This window comes from Homo sapiens (genome assembly GCF_000001405.40).
Source record: "Homo sapiens chromosome 15 unlocalized genomic scaffold, GRCh38.p14 Primary Assembly HSCHR15_RANDOM_CTG1".
Lineage (NCBI taxonomy): Eukaryota > Metazoa > Chordata > Mammalia > Primates > Hominidae > Homo > Homo sapiens.
The window spans coordinates 136,874-155,796 of record NT_187382.1 but is presented as its reverse complement, the minus strand read 5'-3'; the positions used below and the strand labels follow the sequence as shown (position 1 = coordinate 155,796).

Genomic DNA, 18,923 nt, shown 5'->3' with positions numbered 1-18,923 from the left:
ATAAAGCATTATCCTAACAAACATCTGCTGGCTCAGAGTTTGAGTCTGTAGAGAAGGATCATTGCTCCAAGCCAGGTCTTAACATCCATTGGTTTTTCTGCCCTTAGCACAACAAATTGGTCAACTCCGTAATAGTGGACAATCACATTATCTACTTTAATGAGAGATTTATGAAAAAATTTAGTTACAAACTATGACACAGTTGAGATGCCCTGAATGATAAGCCATAAGGAGTAGGACAACTAAGAAGCAAAATTAGGACTTAATAACATTTTCTGAAAACTACAGCATTTGCATATTAGAACCTATGAACAAAATACACATGGGGTTTTATTTGGGATTCCAAGATAATTTTAGTCATAAAGTTTAGGAACAGATTATTCCATTGCTTTACTATTTCTCTGAGCATTTAAAAAATGTTACCTTGTTAAATCTTTATAACAACCTAGTGAAATAAGGCAGCAAAGTCCTCACTTTGTAGAAGAAGACATTGAGCCTAAGAGAAGAAAGTTGTCCAAGAACAAATAGCTGTTCATTATGGAGCTAGGACTTATGCAGAGTTGGGACACTTTCTATTATGTCATGCTAATGCATGCTGATTTACTGGGTCACAGTGCCCTTGATTTATGAGCATTTCACCTAATTTTTTTTCTTCTTTAATTAGAAGCTTAAAGAAAAGTTTGTAGAATGTACTCATAAGTGTATGGGATAATACTGTTAAATTCTGATATTATGATATTGTTTGAAATACTCTAAGAATTTTACATTTGGTAAGTATTTTTTATATCAGTATTAAAATAGTAATTTGGTTTATTACATTTTTATACATAGAATTTGTGAATTACTTTCTGACTATAAAGAAAAACAGATGCTAAAAATCTCTTCTGAAAACAGCAATCCAGGTAAGACTTGTGATAATGAATTACTTTAGGTCAGTTGTCCACAATGTTTTTGGCATCAGGGACCGGTTTTGTGGAAGACAGTCTTTCCATGGGCTGGGGGAAGGTGGGGATGGTTTCAGGATTATTCAGCCATGTTTCATTTATTGTGCTACTTTATATTATTATTACATTGTAATATATAATGAAATAATTATACAACTTACCATAATGTAGAATCCGTGGAAACTCTGAGCTTATTTTTCTGCAACTAGATGGTCTCATCTGGGGGCAAAGTGAGACAGTGACAGATCATCAGGCATTAGTTTCTCATATGAAGCACACAACCTAGATCCCTCAGATGAGCAGTTCACAATAGGGTTCATGCTCCAATGAGTATCTAGTGCTATCACTGATCTGACTGGAGGCAGAGTTCAGGCGGTAATATGAGCCATGGGGTGTGGCTGTAAGTACAGGTGAAGCTTCCCTGGTTTGCCTGCTGCTCACCTCCTCCTGTGTGGTGTGGTTCATAATAGTCCATGGACTGGTACCAGTCTGTGACCTGGGAGTTGTGGACCCCTGCTCTGGGTGGTCCTACCATAGATAAAAAAATAAAAGTAAGGAATTTTTGATCACAAAAGAACGCCAAAGCACAAGTCATGTTACATATCCTTGTCCCAACAAGGTCTCACTCTTACTGACTTGATTCCTCCTCATTTGAAGTTGGAAAGAGATACATTTACTTTGTTTGAACAAGATGTGTTCTCTACCTGCTGGTCAATTGTCTTGATAACAGTAATTTTGTTAGAACAAGATGCTCTGCTACCATTTACCAAAAGATTGTCATAATAAATATACAAATTGCCCAACTCTAGGCTCAGCAGATTATAATAAAAGTAGAAAAATGCTTCACATTAACAAAAATACTAGTATGCCACCTGGTTGTGGACACCTAATACATTGTATAATCCAAACTGGATGAGGACACCTTTAATTTAGCCATCTATTTATCAAAAAGCTTCTGTAAGTTAGGTTTTATAAGTTGCAGAAGACAAAGATGGAATAGATGTAGTTTTGATCTTTAAGGTGCTCATAATAGAGGTGTCTCTATTTCATTTCTGTGCTTTTTCAACAGAATTTACAAAGAAAACATTTCTATGTTTTCACTTGTCCACTTAACAAATAACTATCAAATGTCTTTTAGATACTAATCATTTTTCTAATGCTACAGAACACACACAATTAAAAATACAGACAGGAGCTTGTTATTATCATTGTCATTTTTATTATTTTACTACTTTATTCAGTGCTTACTGTGTGCTAGTTGCCAACTGGAAGCTTAAAATTATGATTTATTATGTATTAATTATGTGCCAGACATACGTGATGAGGAATGAAAGTTTTGAAAAAAAGTAGGTATGATTCAAAGTAAGCCTGCAGAGTGAGAAGAATTTTTCTAGGTAAAGAAGCAGAAGAATAATTTTTGGCAGGAGGAACATGCAACAAGTTTGTGTGTTTGCCAGAAGAACATCTGATGAGATTGCCTGTTTGGCAGGAAGAGCAACAACTGCAAAAGACAAGATGCCGAGTGAACTTTGCAGGGTTTCTGAGCAGTTCACTTTTGCTAGTACCAAAAGTGTGAGACACCAGAGTTTGGGAATGAGGTGAATACTTAGCTAAGGCAAGTTTATGATAGACTTTTTTAATACTATAGAAATGAGTAGGTCTTACCCTGTGGGCCATGGGAAATTTACCAGGTAGAATGCTTTGGACTGTAAATACTAGATGAGCAGTGGCTAAAACAGTAGGAACCAGAGTTGTTTTGGTTGTTCAGTGATATCCTAGGATCCCATTTGTCCCTCTTTCAGCTGTGCTGTTGGCAGTGTTTTCTTCATGTTTCCTTTTGTGGTTGGCTAATCCGCAGCAGCTCCAAACATCTTGTTCTCACAACACAACATTTCAAGGGCTGCTTTTCTTCACATGTGTCTTTTAAACAGGGAGAAAACTTAGAAGCATGCAAGGGGCTTCCTGTAACATTTCATTGGCTGGGTCACACCACATGCTCATTCCCAAACCAGGCAATGGGATGGCAAATACATGATTAGCTTAGAATAAACATTTCTCTTTCTGAGGCTGAGGAGGGGGATTGGGATAATAAATATCCCAATAGACTTGTGTTTCTTCTGCAAGAAAGAATAAGGAATGGCTATTGATAGGAGCCAACAATGTGTGCTGCAGGGGCTCATTGGAGAAATTTGAGCAGGGGAGTTACAAGATTAAATTTGAATATTAAGGCATATTCTGCTTATGGTGTAAAATGGGTTAGCAAGCTTTTTCTGTAAAGGACCAGGTGGGAAATATTTTAGACTATGTGGTCTCTGTCATATCTACTTAACCAGGCTGTTGTCTGTTGTTGTAGTGTGAAAGCCACCATGATTATATGTAAGCAAACAGGCATGACTGAGCTCCTATAAAACTTTATTTACAAAGCCAAAAGGCAGATTGGATTTGTCCTGTGGCCTATAGTTTGCTGGGATTGATGGAAGATAACCATGTAAAGAAACCAGGAGACAAAGGAAGCTTTTGCAGTAGTCAGCTATAGTTTCCATGTCACACATCCTTGGACTAGTATCAATGTATTCTAAGGTTTTCACCTGCCCATGGTGAAATAAAGTTTGGAATCTCCGTTACTCATTTTAATGTGTTGGCCTTTTTTTGGTGTTATGCTTTTTTCATTTGTTTTGCTTAATTTTTTTCATGTAAGAAATAACATTAATAGTTGGAAGGCTTTTTTGTAATAAAAGCCATTTTGTAAATGTTTATGTTCTCAGTGGAAGTGGTAATATAAAGCAGAGGCAGAAGAGAGGTATAGTCAATATGATTTAGTGATAATTGAATGAGAAAGGTTTGGAGGACAGAGAGAAATGTCAGATAATTTACAGGTTTCCACGTTGTACACTAGTATTTAAGCTGGGCATGAGGAAGGAGTATGAAATTTTCTCCATGACCTGTGTGAGTCACAGCTTCCAGAAAAGAAAGAGAGCAAGGAGCATATTAAGGAAGCACAGCAAAGTCAGTCCTAGAGTGCCCTGCTTGACTTCATGTCATAGTTCTGACTTCTAAAAAATCATTTTCTGCAAAATGTGCTTTGTGTTTTTCCCCTCTTGCAGCCTGCAGCCAAACAGAATCCCTTTAGCAGGGCATTTTTGTGTTCTTCCTTTAAACAAAGCAACATATAAATAACAAAAAAGAAGTAAGAGAAAGAGTATTTTTTGTATAGGCTAGCATTTAACTTAAACTTGAGAGCGAGTACTAGGATTATACTTAGAATTTATGGACTGGGTAGGAAGACTAGATAGAAATCTAAAGATTGCTGACTCAAACACAGTGTGATTTTTTTTGCTTTATTCTCACAGCTCTGAATTCACAACTATTAGTTATATTCATATACACTATAACTTTATAAAGCACCTTCCCAAACAAATATTAAGTGATTTATTATAATTTCTATGACTTATTATAGAATTGACTTTCCAAGTGTTCATGAGAATTATTGGGAATTTGCTACATAGTATCATCTCAGCTGTGTCCACATGAGCTAGCTGTCACCTTGTCTTAATGAATAATGGCTCACTAGGAATATTGGTTTTGGCATTAAAATGATCTACATCTTAATACAGATAGGACCAGGGACCACTCTTGAACGTTAATGTCTAAGCATCTTAAAGGTACACATAAGGCTTTCATAATCTGACTTCTGCCCTATTCTACATCTTTAGCCCTTTTCCCTGTGTGCCCTTTCTCTGGCATTACTGAGTGGCTCTTAATGCCCTACTCACTCCTCCTTCTATTGCAGGCAAATACTTTCACTCTTTCAGGCCTCGCTCCTGCTCTTGCTGCTGTGTGGCATGCTGTCACCCTTTCTTGCCCTCTACCACTTTTAATCTAGCTAGCCTCAATATTTAAGTCTCTGCTTGGGCAGGTGTTCTAGAAAAGCCATCCCTGACAGGCTTTATTTTCATTCTTTTTAAACCCTAACACCTAGCATGTATGTAGCAGGACTCAATAAGAAATTTCTGAGTAAAATAAAGACTGTTTTTACAAAGATGATGTGCAAGACTGTCCTCTGCAGTCTTGGAGCAGAGGGGACAGACATGTGGAGGAATAGTGTACAGTTCAGGTGGTAAAGGTGCAGTAGAAAAATCAGTGAGGTCCTAAGGCAACCTCAAGGAAGGAGTTACCTGTTTATCTGGGGAAAGATCTGCAGAATCAAGGAAGACTTCCCATAGCATTGTTTTAAAAGATGAAAACAAGGCTGGGTGTGGTGGCTCACACCTGTAATTGCAGCATTTTGGGAGGCTGGAGCAGGTGGATCACAAGGTCAAAAGATCAAGACCATCCTGGCCAATGGTGAAACCCCATCTCTACTAAAAATACAAAAATTAGCTGGGCATGATGGTGTGTGCCTGTAATCACAGCTTCTCAGGAGACTGAGACAGGAGAATCATTTGAACCAGGGAGTCAGAGGTTGCAGTGAGCTGAGATTGTGCCACTGCACTCCAGCCTGGTGACAGAGCAAGACCCCAGCTAAAACAAAAAAAAAGAAAAATGAAAATAAATTTGTCATAATAGTGGATGGAAACATTTTAGATGTTAAGAAGACATTGTACACTAATAAAGGTGTCAGTAGTAATTTTGGAAATCGTTTGTAAGGTACTATTTTTGCAGAAAACAGGAGGCAGGAGAGACCCAGTGGGTCAAACAAGAGGATTTTGTTTAGGTGCACACCAGCTCAGCGGATTTGCATCAAAAAGCTGAGCCCTGAACAAAGACAGGGCTTGGCTTATATAGGCAAACTTATAGAAGCAGAACAAAGGCAGTTAATCATATAGTGACAGTTTTGCAACCACTGCATAGCTTGTGACCTTGCAGCTGCATTGAAGGAAAACAAGAATTTGCAAAATATATGCATTTGTAAAAATAGCTATGAATAAATGCTGAGGGGGAGGGGAGATGGTAAAGGAATTTGTTTTCTTAACCTTGCTCTGGGATGTCTGGAGCCCATACCTGTGGGCTCTGGCTTCTCAGACAGGGTCACCATGACCTTTCCTGGGCCTGCTTGTTACTATCCTTAGAGTCAGACTAGCTAAGTGCAGGAAAACTTGTTTCTCTTTAAAACTAAATTTCCTTTTCTTTACATTTACTGCTTCACTATTAGGAAGTGAACAACATACTGAGTTACCTTATATGTTTCTACTGTATTTTAAAGTTGTGTTTCTGGTGGTTTTGTTCATTTATGTTGGGTGGATGAATTTGTGAGTGAATCACATCAGGTGTCTCCCCAAGTGGTTTGTTGAAGTTTTGGAGAATTATTTCCTAAGTAACTATTTCATGAAAGACTAAACACTCAGTTTATGAAATAAAATAAAATGTTGTCTTCAATCTATTTTTATAAAGGCAATAGTTTTTAACTGTTCTAAGTGGTTCATTTTAACTGAATATATGGATTTCTCAACAGAACAAGACTTAAAGCTGACATCAGAGGAAGAGTCACAAAGGCTTAAAGTCAGTGAAAATAGCCAGCCAGAGGCATGGAAAATTTTAAGTTTAAATTTTTGATTTAACGTTGTTTTCTTTGCTTGAATAATATTAGATAGTCCAAATGAAATTACCTTTCAGACTAGGTTTTAAGAATCAATAGATTCTTTTTTTAAGAATTTTTTAATAGATTCTTAAAATTTATTTTAATAAATTCAGCAATCTCATTAACAGAAGAATTAATAAATTCTAACTTAACATTTGATATTTAGCTTAAAAACATAACCACTATAAAATTTAAAATACTCTTATTTTATGGTATTCTTATTTAAAATATTCTTATCTGCCTTTTTGATTAGCTTATAGCTAATCTTTCCTTTTGGAATAGAGGCAAAAACATATTCCAGACCTTTGTTTGTTCTTTTATTTTTACAACACCCTAACATGATAAAGTACCATCAATTATTGGATTATATTATTAAGCAATAGAACTGTGAACAATGTAACACTGAAGGTCCCTGAGCTGGATTCATGGTTAAAGAATAATCACGGCCAGTGATTGAAAATCTGCAGTTTTATATTGTCAGTCACAGATACCAAGGTTAAAGACATATTCTGCCTTGTGGTCTCTCACTGACCTCAGCATTTCTGTTCAGGGAGGGAACCAGGTCATAAAAGCAACCCAACTGCCTATTACAAGAATCACATCTTGCAGAATGGGACATTTGGTGTTAGTGCACAAACACAATAACCTTCTACCTTATTTTAGTTGCAGAAAATCAGTACAGATTATTAAAAAATTTTTATCCACTGTAATTAGTACACCTTAGAATATATTAGAACTGGACTTAAGCAGATCATCTAGATACATAACACTATCATATTACAGCATATAATTTCAATTAAAATTTAAGAATTTGCATTTCTTCCTGTTTGGTGTTGATTTCAGCTCCTAATAATTTAAAGCGTGCCTACAATCCAATTAGGAATCTTTTTAAAAAGCACTTCAGTGCACTATAGGGGCTCACTAGTTAGGGTTTCATGAGATATACTCTTTTCAAGTGAGGAAGCCCTTGGAACACTACAAATCATCTGCTAATTCATTTTTGGTAGATTTAACACATAACAAATTAAGTTTAGTCCAAACAAATGGTGACAAAGTTAAGTTTGCTGGTTCATGTTTTTATTCTCCCTTTGTCTAAGGTGAATTATTTTCCCATGTTAGTCAGAAGCCAATGATGTGGCAGTAGCTAAACATAGATTAAAAAGTTAATTCTTAATTTTAATTATTTATTTATTTAATTATTTTAACAGTTAAATTTTATTTTATTTTCTAATTTTTCATGTCCATACTTGATTACTTAAGAATAAAATTATTTTAACATGCATTCCAAAAGAGGAGACATACACGGAAATACAACAAGCAAATTAACCTTCTATTTTTGCATCTGCAGAAAATGTCTCAAGAACCAGAAATAAATAAGGACTGTGATAGAGAGGTATACCTTTATGTTCAAATGTTTCTGTGGAATTAGATTTTTATGTTATGCTGTTTAACAAAGTGTAGTAAGTGTACGCATACATGATCCTATCATGTAAGTAGCATAAATCACCAGTGAAAAATTTAATATTTAACTCAGAAAGAATTCTGTACATTGAGTTTTCAAGAGATACAAACCCTAGAGAGATTCTTTCATTATTATGGAACAATCCTGAATGGTGCCATAAAATGCTAGGTAATGCCACTTTAGGAGATTTGGACCAATCCTTTTATCTTTCTTGGTTTTAGTCTGATTATCACTAGATAATGTGGCTAAAGAAGATAATTACTTATTCTTTGTAATTTCCAGCTGGAAAATTGTATAGCTATTGAATGTGAAATTTGGGGAGCATCTAATTTTCTGGAATTCCATGCTTGCACCTCAGCAGTTTCACTCTGCTCCTTGTGTTGTGGCAAACTTTGGTTTTCATGTTTCAGTGAGCACCATCATGTTTTTGATATCCAGGAACCAAATGAAAAAAGAACGATCAAAGGCAGTGGGGGAGGAGAATATCTTAGTGCAGAAAAGGGCCATCTTCCTTTCTATTCCTGAAGCCCCCCAGTGTCTCATCCTCTACATCTGAGTGTTTAATGTAAAATCTAGGTGGTAAAGACAGAAGACACATTTTGTGTCTATGTCGTTTTATTTTTGTGTTCCCACGAGTCAAATGGGGTAAATTCATATATAAGATTCTGAAGAGTTTTTGGGAATAAAAGCACAAAATGAAGGAGGGCCCTTTTTGAATTTTGGAAAATTCTGTTTTATTCAGTCAAACAGCTGGAATCAAGCAAACTTTACAAAAATTTCAGTGATATACTAATGACATGATAATTACATCTTAAAATTATACGGTTATAGTTCTGTATATATGATCAAATTTAAGTGTGAAATATTTTTAATGACTAAAATAATGGCAAACTGAGTCAATTGATAAAATCAATTAAAAAGGTTATTTTTATTCAATAAAGTGATAACCATCCTTAATATCAAACTTCCACTCAAGGTTGAAGAAGAAATAAAGAAGCATGGAAGTAATCCTGTGGGATTACCAGAAAACCTGACTAATGGTGCCAGTGCTGGCAATGGTGATGATGGATTAATTCCACAAAGGAAGAGCAGAAAACCTGAAAATCAGCAATTTCCTGACACTGAGAATGAAGAGTATCACAGGTAAGCCTATGGCAACATTTAATAGGAGATAACTATATGCTGTCAAACTAATCCTAATTTGGGCTTTCATGATGAACAAATTTTATACTTTTACTAGAATATTCAGCCTTGCCTGTTAATCAGAAAAATGAAAATCAGTAAACAATGAGTTACCGTTTTTTCCAGTCATTAATTTATTTGAAAAATAACCGGCATTGGCAAATGTGAGGGAAAAGGCATTTCCTTTTCTTTTTAATGAACTTTTATTTTAGCTTCAGAAGTTCATGTGTAGGTTTATTATATAGGTAAACTGTGTCATGGAGGTTTGGACTACAGATTACTTCATCAGCCACATAATAAGCAAAATACTCGAGAGGTAGTTTTTTGGTCATCTCCCTCCTGCCACACTCCACCCTCAAGTAGACCCTGGTGTCTGTTATTCTCCTCTTTGTGTCCATGAGTTTTCATTGTTTAGTTCCCACAAATGAGTAAGAATATGTGGCATTTGATTTTCTGTTCCTGCATTAGTTTGCTTAGGATAATGGCCTCCAGCTCCATGTGTGTTGCTGCAAAGGAAATGGTCTCATTGAAAAAGACAATTCATACACTGTTGGTAAATATATTTTGAACATTAATTTATTAGCATATTTGCACACACACATATATAACATAGTAAGGATATATATGTATGTTAAGGATATTTGTATAGATTTGTCACATATATACTTATGTATAAGGACATTTCTTACAGCGTTATTATATCAAAAAGATGGATCCTTATCAATAGGAATTTATCATTATCAAAAGTAAATCCTTACCAATAGGAAATGGCTCAATTTTCATACCCAGAAAATAATACGGTATGCAAACATTTTTTACAAATGAGGTTAGATCTAGAGTATACTGATTATTTCACAATTAAAATGTATTTAAAGCATTTAGTTTGGTAACACATCTTAAGATAATTTTGTTAGAATTCTTGTAATATCTGCTGTGTTGCAAATGGAAGCTACACGCTACATTGACACTGTACCTTGTTAGCAACGAGATTGCTAGTTATTAAATTTTTGTTGTCAGTGCCTGAGTGCCAAAATATTGGACCTTCAATCTGAATATTGCCAAGGGATTGTACATGGGGATCTATATTTAATATAAACATTTGAGTATATTGGGTAAAACTTTTATTAAAATATATCAAAGTATCTTTCATCTGCTAAACCAGGAGCTGGCCAGCTTTTTCTGCAAAGAGCCATTTAGTAAATTTTTAGGCTTTGTGGACTATATATATTTATTTTTTTTGAGACAGGGTCTCTGTTGCCCAGGCTGGAGTGCAATTGTGTGATCACAGCTCACTACAGCCTTGACTTTCTGGGCTCTAGTGATCCTCCCACCTCAGCCTCTCTATTAGCTGGGACCCCAAGTGTGCAACATCACACCCAGCTAATTGACTCTATGGACTGTAAAGTGAATAAGCATGGCTGTGTTCCAAGATTCTTTACTTACAAAAACAGGCAGTGGGCTGGATTTGGCCCACAGGTGCTAATTTGCTGACCCTTGTGCTAAAAGGAAGGTGCTGCTAATGCAGTAACACTTATTTATAAAAGTGCCCAGCATGTGTGACATTATCTTTCCTTTGAGAAAAGGATATATTTTGGTATTCACCTCACCATATTTTTCCACAGTGACTTCATATAATTTTAAAAATTTCATTTGTAAAATAAGATTATTTTCTGCATTTCTGCCACTTTATTCCTGTTAATAGAATTCAGTATTTTATGGTGATCAATTACTTTGTATATTCGATGAGCATCAACTGTCCTAGAATTGGCTGATTTTTATCAAGCAAGAAATACTCTCCTTGAAACTTTTAGTTTTTCTTGGTCTTTATGTATAAGCATGAACAAAATGATAATTAGCTTATGTAATCTAGAAATGGTCAAGGCAACTTTTAGTTCTATAGTTTTAAGATTTAACACCTTGGTCTGGCATTTTTAATGCCACATGTGTATAATTTTTATAAGCTTTAAAATATATAATTGTTATATAAAATTTGAAAACTACACCTTTTATGTAAAATTTGAAACTATTTGTCTATTACTTTTCCATGACTGTGGAAGAAAATTACAACATTCTCAGCCATGACTCTTAAGTATGATGTCCTTAAAAGAACTGTCTACACTCACGAACTCAAATTTTCTTTTCATTCACTCTTGATCTCATGCCAGTAAGTCTTCAATTTCAGCAGTCCTCCAGCATTGTTTTTCCTCAAGATTATCACTATTTTTTTTTTCTGTAATAAATCTAGGCCCTTTTCTTCCACCTCATTTTATTTAATCTGTCAGCAATATTTGAGCCAATGGAGGGCATCTCCTCCCTAACGGCATCTTCACTTGGCTTTCAGGACCTCACTCCCTCAGGCTTTTCCTCCTGCCTTTCTAGTCCATTCATCATGGTCTGTTTTGCTTGCTCCTCCTCATCTTTCTCCTTTTGGACATTGTTGTTTCCCAGGGCTCACTCCTCAGTCTTCTTTCTCGTGACTTTTTCTTTTTCTTTTTTGGAGACAGAGTTTCACTCTGCCTCCCAGGCTGGAGTTCAGTGGTGTGATCTCGGCTCACTACAACCTCTGCCTCCTGGGTTCAAGCAATTCTCCTGCTTCGGCCTCCTGAGTAGCTGGCATTACAGGTGCATGCCACCGTGCCCAGCTGATTTTTGTATTTTTAGTAGACACAGCATTTCCCCATGTTGGCCACCCTGGTCTCAAACTCCTGACCTCAGGGGATCTGTCTGCCTTGGTCTCACAAACTGTTGGGATTACAGGTGTAAGCCACTGCACCTGACCCCTCGTGACTTTTTCTACTGTGTATATGCTAGTGATTTCTGAATGTATGTCTCCAGCTCAGATCTTTCTCCTTAATTCCAGATTTCTATATCAGCCTGCCTACTTGACGTCTCTATTTGGTTAGTTATTGGGTATCACACACTTGTCAGATCCAAAATTGGGCTACTGATGTCCTTCCTGAAATCTGCACCTCATGTAGTCTTTCCTATTTTTGGTTAAGGGCAACTCTTCCAGTTGCTCTGCCAAATATCTCGGTGTCATTCTTGACTCATCTCTCTCTCTCTCTGACACCTCACATCTAATCTCTCAGTAAATCTTGTCAGGTCTACCTGAAGAATATGTCCAGAAGTCAGTCATATCTTGTACATCTGAGCCACCCTCATCTGCAGTCTAGATGAGTGTCATAGACTGGGAATTGATAGTCCTGGTTTTTAAAAACTTCCCTTTTCATCAATTCTTAACTCAGTGGATGTATTTAAAACATAAGTCAAATTGTGTCATTCCTCTGCCCCAGCCCTTCTGTTTATCTCCCATTTCACCCGGAGTATGTGTCAAAGTTCCTCCTAATTATCTCCCTTGCTCTGCTTCAGCCAAACTGATCTCTTGCCGTCCCTTATCTACCCCTAGTGCTTAAAGATGCCAGGCACACCTCTGTGATTCGCAGTTCCCTGTGTCTGGAATGCTTTTTCCCCAGTTATCCTCCTAGCTTTCTCTTTCCATTCCTTCAGTTCTTTATTTAAAACCCCCTTTCTAAGAAGAAGAGGAAAAAGGGTAAAAAGAAAGACATTAAGGAACAACCACTTTCTGAGGAAGAACAGCATGCTACCTAGACGCGTCATGCTTGAGGTTCAATTGGGTGCCTACCAGGGATGCTCTCTAACGTAATGAAGGGAAGGTTCAGTGAAACAAAGTGATTTAACATCTCTAACTTCAAACCCATTTGTATCTTGACATCAATGCCGTTAACCTTATGTCGTCATTTCTTAGAGTCTTTGATATACAAATAAAAGGTTTTTTGTATTAGAAAAAAAAATCCCCTTTCTCAGCAGGGACTTTTCTGACCACCCCAACTTTCCCACCACCCTCCCCATGAAACACATAAACATTTCATTTTCCTGCTTTAGTTTTTCTCCTCTAACATACTGTATATTTTGCCTTATCTGTCTGTTGTTATTGTGTGTTTTTCTCACTCTCATGAATGGGGTTTTTATTTTTCACTACCATATCCTCACTGCCTAGAAAAAGGCCTAGCATATTGGATGAAGCTACCTAATAAATACTTATTAAATGAGTGAATGGAGTTTATCCTGGATATATTGTTTGATTAATTCTCACTTTAAAAATGTTTGACATGGTTCATTCTAACAGTTTTGCCCAGTAATTACATGCATTTTAAAAATTGTTTTGGCTCTTTATAATAAGCTACATTCTTTATATTATTTTTTTATTTAGAGAGAAAAGCCCAATATTGTGGTTATTCACTATTTATTCTTTTACTAGTAAACATAATTGTAATTATGGTAAACTGAGTCAGAGGAATTGCAAACTTTACTAGTATTTTATTTTATTTTGAGATGGAGTCTTGCTGTATCCCCCAGGCTGGAGTTCAGTGGTATGATCTCAGTTCACTGCAACCTCCGCCTTCTGGTTCATGTATTTCTCCTCCCTCAGCCTTCCAAGGAGCTGGGATTACGGGGGCATGCCACCACGCCTGGCTAATATTTGTATTTTTAATAGAGATGGGGTTTCACCCTGTTGGTCAGGCTGGTCTCAAACTCTGTACCTCAGGTGATCCACCCACTTCGGCCTTTCAAAGTGCTGGGATTACAGGCATGAGCCACTGCGCCTGGCCACTAGTATTTTATTTAAAAAAAAAATTAGGGTGGCACATTTAATGGACTTACAAATTCTTTTCAAGGGATTATGAACCTTTGGTATTTGAAATAAAGATACAGAGTTGGAATTTTTTGCTTCCTATAGTAAGAGGAATACTGGTCAGGCACTGTCTATTCTGGTGGAGCAGGTGCTGCTGCGTGGCTGTATTTCAGAAGCAAGCTGCTCACATTGATATTGGTTGGTGAGCAAGAGCAGTGGTCATTGATTGATTGACTAGATTTCATACTGGCTTTTGGGTGGCTTGTTGTTACCATTGGTACAAGTCATTTCTTTCCTAAGTTAGAGTCAACTTTAACCGAAAATTTTCTGTATAAAAGTTGCCTTCAATTAACTATGTTCAAAATGAAAGTATTTTATATTCCAGAATTGTAGACTTCATTTTAAAATTTTGGTCAAGATGAATTGGTTAATAATAGCTCTCAGGAAGATCTGTTTTCTTTTTTTTAAATACATATTTCTCTGTATAATTTATTCGTTAAAATTAATTATTTTCTTTCTGTTTTTGGTATTTTTAGAAGCTTTTGCTTAAGTCCTAACATAATCTCCAGTAGGAGATTTTAGTCTCTTTGTCAGTTCATGTATGTATATGGTAGTGATACTCTCTTTTTAAATTCCTTTTCTCATTCACTTTCTTCTCAGTACAATAACAGTGATATTCTTATACATCTTTACCTCATTTAAAAGTAATTACAGTTTTCTGCTGGCAAATTCGGCTTTTTATATTTTGACTAAATACTAGGCTAAAATTGAAGAAAATTTACCAGGTCATTTTATTTTCAAACAAAATCATTACTAATAAAAATTGCTATTTTTGAAATATAAATAATGACATTTTGATATTTTAAAAGTAAGGATACACCCCCCCCAATAGTTTCGCTTTGTGTTTCCACCCAAATCTCATGTCAAATTGTAATTCCCAGGTGTTGAGAGAAAGACCAGCTGGGAGGTATTGGATCATGGGGTCGGTTTCCTCCATGCTGTTCTCTTGATAGTGAGTTCTCACAAGAGCAGATAATTCTATAATGGGCTCTTTCCCTTTCACTTCTCTCTCTCCTGCCACCTTTTGAAGAAGTTGCCTGCTTCCCCTTTACCTTCTGCCATGATTGTAAGTTTCCTGAGGCCTTCCCAGCCATGTGTAACTGTGAATCAATTAAGCCTCTTTCCTTTATGAATTACCCAGTCTCAGGTATACATACATACATACATATATATATATATATATATATATATATATATATATATATATATATAATTTTCTTTATTCCACTCATCAGTTGATGGACACTGGCTGATAACATATCTTTGCATATGTGAATTGTGCTGCAGTAAACATATGTATATAGGTGTCTTTTTGAGAGTATGATTTCTTTTATTTTGGGTAGGTATCCAGAAATGAGAATGCTGGATAGAATGGTAAGATCTACTTTAACAGAACTCTCCATAATGTTTTCCATAGATTTGTACTAATTTGTATCCCCACCAGCAGTGTATAAATCTTCTTTTTTCACCACATCCACACCAACATCTGCTGTTTTTCTTATTTTAGTAGTGACCATTCTGGCTGAAGTGAGGTGATATCTCACTGTTGTTTTATTGTACATTTCCCTGATGATTAGTAATATTTAGCATGTTTTTATATTCTTGTTCACCATTTGTACATCTTCTTTTGAAAAATGTCTATTCATGTCATGTGCCCACTTTTTAATGGAATTGTTTGTATTTTTCCTGCTGATTTGTTTGAGTTTCTGGTAGGTTATGGACATTAATCCTTTGTTAGATTCATAATTTGCCCATATTTTCCCCATTGTATAGGTGGTTGGCTCACTTTGATGATTATTTCTTTTGCTGTGCTGAAGCTTTTTAGTTTAATTAGGTCTTTATTTATTTATTTATTTATTTATTTATTTATTTTTATTTTTGTTGCTTTTGCTTTCAGGGTCCTCATCATAAATTATTTGCCTAGGCTAATGTCTTCTGGTCTTAGGTTTAGGCCATTAATCCATCTTGAATTAATTTTTTACATGGTGAGAGATAGAGATCCAATTTTATTCTTCTATATGTGACTATCTTTTTTTCCCAGCACCATTTGTTGAATAACGTGTACTTTCTCCAGTGTATGTTTTTGTATCCTTTCTCAGAGATCATTTGGTTGTAAGTGGCCTTTTTTCTGAGTTGTCTATTCTGTTCCATTGATCTGTGTATGTACTTTTATACCAGTACCATGATGTTTGTTACTGTGGCCTTAGAGTTGAAGTCAGGTAATTTGATGCCAACATGTTTGTTCCTTTTTCTTGGTATGTCTGTTGCTATTCAGGCTCTTTTGTGGTTCTACATGAATGACAGCTTTTTAAAATAACTCTGTGAAGAATGACATTGGTACTTTGGTAGAAACTGTATTGACTCTGTAGACTACTTTGGGCACTATGGCATTTTCACAATATCAATGCTTTCAGTCCAGGAACATAGAATGTATGTTCATTTATTTGTATGATCTATGATTTTCTTCAGTGGCGTTTTCCAGTTATCCTTTGATAGATCACTCACCTCCTTCATTAAGTATATTCCTAGGTATTTTACTATTTTGCAGCCATTGTAAAAAGGATTGGATTCTTGATATGACTCTCAGCTTGGTTGTAGTTGGTGTATAGTGGTACTATTCATTGGTATTTGTATATTTTGTAACCTCTGAGACTTTACTAAATTCATTTATCAAATCTAGGAGTGTTTTGTAGGAGTCTGTAGGGTTTTCTAGGCATAAGATCATATCATTGGTGAAGAGAGAGTTTGACTTTCTCTTTTCCAATTTGGATGCCCTTTATTTCTCTTGCCCAATTGCTCTGCCTAGGGCTTCCCAGTTTTCTTCTTAATATGCATGAAATAAAAGTGAAATTGAAAGCGATTAATGATCAGTTTATTTCACATCTCTCTCTCATACACAGATAAAATTAATTCAAAGTTCTATGTTAAAAACACAATATTAGACCCTGTCTTGTTCCAAAGGGAATTTCTAATTTGTCTATAAATTACAGAGGAATCAAGAATATAAGTGGAAACTGTTTCCAAAAAATAAACGTAAAAAGTTTGAGTTAACACAGGGGTTTCCAATCCCCAGGCCACAGACCAGTACCAGTCCCTGGCCTGTTAGGACCTGGGCCACACAGCAAGAAGTTAGTGGTAGATGAGCAAGTGAAGCTTCATCTGTTTACAGCCACTCTCTGTCACATTACCACCTGAGCTCCTCCTCCTGTCAGATCAGCGGTGACATTAGATTCTCATAAGAGTGTGACTTGAACCCTATTGCAAGCTGCTCATGCATGGGATCTAGGTTGTTCACTCCTGATGAGAATCTAATGCTTTATGATCTGTCACCATCTCCTGTCACCCCTAGATGAGACCATCTAGTTGCAGGAAAATAAGCTGAGGGCTCCCACTGATTCTACATGATGGTGAGTTATATAATTATTTCATTATATATTAGTAATAATAGAAATGAAGTGCACAATGTATGTAATGTGCTTGAATCATCCTGGAACCATCCCCCACCTCAGGTCCATGGAAAAATTATCTTCCACAAAACTAGTCCCTGGTGCCAACATGACTGGGAGAGCAGGGTTAACAGATGTGAGGCCCCTTTGCCTTGTCTTGGATTAATGTGCAGATATACATTGTGTGAATGACATCTGATGGTGCCATCTTGCCCTGTAGATCATTTTAGGGACACCTCCAGTATTTCATGAAAATTAAAATTTCTTCTAGTGACGAACAAAATGATACCCAGAAACAACTTTCTGAAGAACAGAACACTGGAATATCACAAGATGAGATTCTGACTAATAAACAAAAGCAGATAGAAGTGGCTGAAAAGGAAATGAATTCTGAGGTATTTTCTTTAGTCATTATCAAATGTTTTCATATGTGTATATATTTTTAAAAAGCTTTATTTTGGAAGGTATAAAGGATTTTTAAATCATATATATACACACGTGTGTGTGTGTGTGTGTGTGTATATACACACACACACACACACACACACCCTGTATATCCTTGGTCATATATCTATATATGTACACATAGGATAAAGCCATGTTCTTAATTCAACTGCATTTGCCTGCAACAGTCGAGTAGTGACCTTCACAATGGCCTCAATCCAAAGGAAAAGCATTTGATATTTTTCATAAGAATTGATTATCTTTCCAATATCAAAAATAAGTTTTGCTACTAACAACAGATTTGCTAGTTTTGGGACATTAGTTCTTTTTAAAATATTAATAGAGAAGTCAGTTTGTTATTTTCACTAATAGGAAAGTAGGAAATGTACAGCTGGGTCAGAGGCCACATTGTGGATGTCATTATCCTTGCTTTTGAGGAGAGGAACAGTTTGCTCCGAGTAGTTTCTCAATTCAATGCAAAGAGCTTTGAAAACAATGACATGCCATGATACACATTTAGTGATAATTTATTGATAAGTATTTTGTTCCCAGATGAATAGTTCAGTACGTTTCCCGTATTTCACACTTACTACTATAATGTTTCAAACATTATGAAGAGGAAAGAAAAGTTATTGCAATGGCAAATAATCTCATGATTTCTAAGAAAAGCCTTGTAAGTTATATCTTATTTACCATCTGTATTTTGAAATAAAAGGCTTCTTTTGTATTTATATATTTACACCACAGAAGCAACTGATTTTGTGGAGGATCACTAACAGTAGCATCAGAAGACCTGGCAAAAATCTTGCACGTTGCATATATATATGTGTGTGTGTGTGTGTGTGTGTGTGTGTATTCTAGATGGAGTCTTGCACTGTCACCCACGCTGGAGTGCAATGGCACAAACTCAGTTCACTGCAACCTCTGCCTCCCAGGTTCACACGATTCTCCTGCCTCAGCCTCCTGAAGTGCTGGGATTACAGGTGTGAGCCACTGGTCCTGGCTGCATATATTTTTTGATCTCTCCTTTTAAGAATCGTGATCTTAAATGAGTTGAGTGTTGTATGTAGAAGTGCAATGCTTAGATGCCGGTGTGTACATTGTAGAAGGGTACAATGCTTAGATTTAACAGTTATGAATAAATGTAATTCTT

At 36.0% G+C, this 18,923-nt stretch overlaps 1 protein-coding gene across 4 annotated transcripts in view; it reads left to right on the top strand.

The window, feature by feature from the left end:
• LOC102723502 (POTE ankyrin domain family member B-like) overlaps positions 1–18,923 on the top strand; it is a 34,751-nt gene that overhangs the window by 11,551 nt on the left and 4,277 nt on the right. The window contains exons 6-10 of one of the 4 annotated variants that reach the window (NM_001395469.1): positions 832–902; positions 6,397–6,467; positions 7,871–7,915; positions 8,961–9,127; positions 17,598–17,721. In NM_001395469.1, the coding sequence (NP_001382398.1) occupies positions 832–902; positions 6,397–6,467; positions 7,871–7,915; positions 8,961–9,127; positions 17,598–17,721 (478 nt within the window). Of the gene's footprint in view, positions 1–831; positions 903–3,297; positions 3,565–6,396; positions 6,468–7,870; positions 7,916–8,960; positions 9,128–17,597; positions 17,722–18,923 lie in introns of those variants that run through there. The other 3 variants (XM_006724901.3, XM_011546200.2, XM_011546199.2) reach the window with 3 other exon arrangements.